The 5,256-nt window shown below is 45.6% G+C and overlaps 1 pseudogene; it reads left to right on the top strand.

The window, feature by feature from the left end:
- MTRES1P1 (MTRES1 pseudogene 1) lies at nt 1,347-2,108 on the top strand (annotated as a pseudogene).

Genomic DNA, 5,256 nt, shown 5'->3' on the forward strand with positions numbered 1-5,256 from the left:
ACATATGGATTGGAAGTAAATTGGCATTGGAACCCTTCTGTCCCTTTTACACAGCACAGTCAATTCAGAGTCCCCAGCCTGGACCAGGCTCACGTCCGTCTTTGCAGTGGATGGGGAAGGACAGTGTCACTAGAGAAGCCTCCTACCCAGGGCGGCCTGGGAACAGCTCCCTTGAGTGCTGTTTTCCTGTCAAGTCTTATCATTGTAATAGGACTTCTGTTGTTTTTGGACTCTGTACAGAGAGACTTTCAGTTTTCAATGAAACAGTTGGCTTAAAAAAATGCTTCAAGGGGGAAAAAAACATAACTGAATCACAGCAAGGCCCTCAGAAGTCATAGCCCTTGATCTTCCTTAGCCTCCTCGGCGGCAGCTTTCTAAATATTATCACTCTCCTGCCCCCAAAGCCACTCCTGCCCCAGGCCCCTGCCCTCGGATCATTTCCTCTCCTAGTTCACCAAGAGAACATCATCCAGAGAAAGGGGCTCCCTCAAGCTTCTTCTGTCCCCATTGCAAAGCTCTTTTTCTCTCCCTACCTGCTATGGTGCCGGGCATTATGCCAGGCCCTGGGCACTTATGAGCTGTGTGAATCCCAACAACAAGCCTCTGTTTTACAGAAAAGGCTCAGAGAGGTCCCGGAATTTGTCAAAGTCATAGACTGTTTCTCTGTTTACATGTTCCATTCCTTCTTGTCTGGGCCTAAAAAAAAGCATCCCAATCAAGTCTTTTTCTTTTTTTTTTTTTTCAGGAGGGGGACAGGATCTTGCTCTACTGCCCAGGCTAGAGTGCAGTGGCATGATGACAGCTCACTGCAACCTTGAACTCCTGGGCTCAAGCAATCCTCCTGCCTCAGCCTCCTGTAGCTGGGACTACAGGAGAACACCACTGCGCCAAGCTAATATTTTTAAAATGTTTTGCAGAGACAGGATCTTGCTTTTTGCCCAGGCTTTGATCAAGTCTTAACCTCCCTACACACACACACACACACACACACACACACACACACACACACAACAATGCTGAATCCATTTTCCCACCCCTTCTGGGGACTTCTTTATCAATCATTCAATCCTCTTGCAACTTCCCTTTTATTCTGAGCCAGGCTTCCCTTTAATGCCACATCCAAACCCATCAAGTCCTGATGGAATTCCACTCAAAAACTGTCCTCAGCTCTACCACTTCCCAGCATCTTCACTGCCAAAACCTTAGGGCTAGTCCAAGCGCCAGCAGCTCCTGCCCCGCCCACTGCGGGCCTCCTGACTCTTCTCGCTGAGTCTCCTCTCATCTCCAATAGACGGTTCTCCAACAGTAAGCATTGTGGACTTCAGAGGAAAAAAGGAGTCTGTTCGGAGGCCCTGACATACAGGTTATAAGTGCCATGGCTATGACTAGTGTCAAATTGCATGCTGGTGTTTTAAGAAAGCCAGATACCTGGATTGGACTCTCGGGTGTTCTCTGAGGAACACCTTCATCACACAAACTCTGTACTTCCTGGAATCAGTACTTGTATTTTTCTAGTACCAAGTTACATGCACCAAATTATAATACACTTTTCTATAACATTTTCTCACTGAGACTCCCGGGGCTTTTAATATCTCTGGAATATTTTTTTCCATTTTCCATAAGACTCAAAAGTAATATAAGCTCTACAAAATCTACTAAAAAGTATCTGCAAAAAATAGGAGATGAGGAGGACTCTGATGCAGAAAGTGATCAGAACGAGATGAGTGAGCAGGAAGAGGAGCTTGAGGATGGCCTTACTATAGCAAAGACTATCAAGACCTGGAAACAGTAGTGCGGTCTTTTCAGGATGACGTTGTCCTGAAGACAAGCCTGGATATTGGAAGAAACAAAGTGGAAGATGCATTCTGCAAAGGTGAATTCAGGCTGAATGGGGAAAAATTATGGAAGAAAAGCAGAATGGTCAAAGTGGGAGATACATTGGATCTTCTCATTGGAGAGGATAAGGAAGCAGGAACAGAGACAGTGATGCAGATTCTCCCAAAAAAAAGTGTTTGAAGAGAAGGCTGAAAGTGAAAAATACACAGTGGTATTACAGCAGTGGAAAAACTTAAAAATGCCTAAGAAGAGAATGTCTAAATAAACGGATTCTTCACCGGGCATGGTGGCTCACTTCTGTAATCCCAGCACTTTGGGAGGCTAAGGTGGGCGGATCATCTGAGGTCAGGAGTTCAAGATCAGCCTGGCCAACATGGTGAAACCCCATCTCTACTAAAAATACAAAAATTAGTTGGGCGTGGTGGCATGTGCCTGTAATCCCAGCCACTTGGGAGGCTGAGGCGGGAGAATTGCTTGAACTGGGGAGGCAGAGGTTGTAGTGAGCTGAGATCACGCCACTGCACTCCAGCCTGGGTGAGAGAATGAGACTCCATCTTAAAAAAAAAAAAAAGAAAAAAAAGAAAGAAAGAACCTTCTTTTGCCTTTCACAGCTCTGTCACTTTTTCCCAGTTGGCCATTTTACTAACATTCTTTTTTCTCAGTCTTTATCATTAGCCCTTTTCTCTACCAAAAATATATGTTCTTACTGTTCATTGGAAGGGATCTCATCCATCCCAACAGCTTCATTTATCACTCATATGTTGAAAACTCTCCAATCTATATCTCCTGTCCCAATCTCTTTAGCTCCAAGTAGATACCCACAATTTGCAAGACATAGCTTGATACTGGTAATGCATAATTACATCAAGTTAAACTTGTCCAAAATGTAGCTCATAATCAGGTTCCCAGTCTCAACTCCATTCCAGTCTTGTGTGTTACAGCATCATTCAATCAATTGCCCAAATGTGTAATCTCAGAACATTGCCTTCCATTCTCTGCTGACTTTGCAAAACCTGAGAAGCAGAAGTAAAGAGGAGAAATGGGAAAAGAGAACTGTCAGTTTTGCATGCCACCTTAAACCATTGCTTTGCTTTGAGCTTTGCAAATATAACAGGTTTGCAAAGTGTGTCACACACTCAAATTGAGATGTGCAGAAAATGGTAACTTCTTTATTTTAGTCCTTTCCCTAAGTCTTCAACAGTCGAAGGAAAAATTAATTAAGTTAATGCTCAAGTCTGTTAAATGCATAATACAGTCCAATGATTTAAATAGACTGTTTACGGAATGCCAAGTCTCTCTTGGAAAAAAATGCTCAATCTCTGAGAAGCCTCCTCTCTTCTGATTCTTTCTTTCTTTTTTATTTTTATTTTTTTTTATTTTTTGAGACGGAGTCTCCCTCTGTCTCCCAGGCTGGAGTGCAGTGGCGCGATCTCAACTCATTGCAACCTCCACGTCCCAGGGTCAAGCAATTCTCCGTACCTCAGCCTCCCAAGTAGCTGAGATTACAGGCACCTGCTACCATGCCTGGCTAATTTTTAGAATTTTTAGTAGAGACAGGGTTTCGCCATGTTGGCCAGGCTGGTCCTGAACCCCTGACCTCAGGTGATCCACCTGCCTCGGCCTCCCAAAGTGTTGGGATTACAGGCGTGAACCACTGTGTCCGGGCCTGATTCTTTTTTGAGAGGCTGTCCAGGTGCACAGGAGGAAGGGTGTGTAATAGAGGTACCTGTGAGGTTTCAGGGAGACACGGGTTCTCAGACCCCAGAGCATGATTCTGGAGTTGCTTGTCATGTGAGCTGTTGGTGCAGCCTGTGAGCTGGGCCTCCCAGCTTGCTCAGGACTCCACCTCACTTTGGCTCTGCTGGCAGTTTTCCCCTGAGCTTGGTGTCCAGCCTCCGAGTAGCCTCTGCCCCAGGCTCACCTCCCGCTGCCTCAGGAGGCCCCGCAACGGACCTGGCTTGTGTTCCACATAGGAATTGAAGTTGAGCCTTAAAAAATATTCACACTGCCATATATTTCTGAGGCTGTGCCCTAGAAAACGTATGGCAATAGCTCCCCTCCTTCCTCTTGGTGTAACCCACTAATTTAATTAACATCCCTGTCCCCCGCCCCCACCCCACTCCACCACCAGAGACTTAAGGACTGGCAGCTTCCCTCTCCTCCCTCTTCTTTCATTTTGCACAAACACTCTTTCTCCCTTCTCCTCCCAAGAATCCTCAGGACCAGAAAACCAGTAGGTTTTCTTTTTTTTTTTAATTTCTTTTTATTTTTTTAGAGACAGTGTCTTACTCTGTCTCCCAAGCTGGACAACAGAGGTGCAATCATAGCTCACTACAGCCTCGAACTCCTGGCCTCAAGTGATCCTTCTACCTCAGCCACCCAAGTACAGTGGGCTCTTTTTTTTTTTTTTTTTTTGAGCCTGAGTCTCGCTCTGTCGCCCAGGCTGGAGTACAGTGGCCCGATCTTGGCTGACTGCAACCTCTGCCTCCCGGATTCAAGCGATTCTTCTGCCTCAGCCTCCCTAGTAGCTGGGACTACAGGCACCCACCACCACGCCCAGCTAACTTCTGTATTTTCAGTAGAGACGGGGTTTCACCATGTTGGCCAGGCTGGTCTTGAACTCCTGACCTCGTGAGCTGCCTGCCTCAGCCTCCCAAAGTGCTGGGATTACAGGTGTGAGCCACCACGCCCAGCCCAGTGGGCTCTTTTACTTTCCCCACATCCTGTTCCCTTTTCTGACTCCATCTATAACTGGGGGCAGGAGTGTCTCCTCTACACTGTGGGAAAATTCTAGAAGCTCACCACTCCAAGCTAAGTTATTGGCAGGCTAAAAAAAAAAAAGAATTAAAGGAATTCGGAAAATATTTTCTCAAGATACCTGTTGAGCCTGATATAAATTAAAGCTGATGAAGTGAACTGAATCTATCAGCCTAAGGAATTTTAATTGATCTTAAAGGCACACGATAGCCACTGACTTTTCCTTTCAAAGATCATTTTGGCTGCAGTGTGCAGAGTGGATTAGACACTAGTGCCTCCCAGATTTTGCACCCACAACATGCATGGAAAATGGTAATATTACATGGCACAATGGGGGAACAGGAAGAGGTGGCCCCAGACCCCACCCAGCCGCCATGAGGGTTGAGGGAATGAACACACCTGGAATCCATTCATGGTTACCCGTGGATAAAGTAGGAAGTACAGTTCTGGAAGGCAGGAAGCTAGTTAAAAGGCAATGTTAGTAATTCATGCAAGGGATAATAATTGTCTAAACATTAGTTCTTCGTAGGGTAGATATGGGGAGAAATGAATGGATTTGAAGGATACCAATTAGATAGAACAAGCACGTTGTGTTTGATTAAATGGCTGGATAAAAGGTGGCGCTAATTCACAGACATGGAAGGAGTTTCCAAGGCAGAAAGG

This window comes from Homo sapiens, chromosome 6, assembly GCF_000001405.40.
Source record: "Homo sapiens chromosome 6, GRCh38.p14 Primary Assembly".
In the NCBI taxonomy this organism is placed as follows: Eukaryota; Metazoa; Chordata; class Mammalia; order Primates; family Hominidae; genus Homo; species Homo sapiens.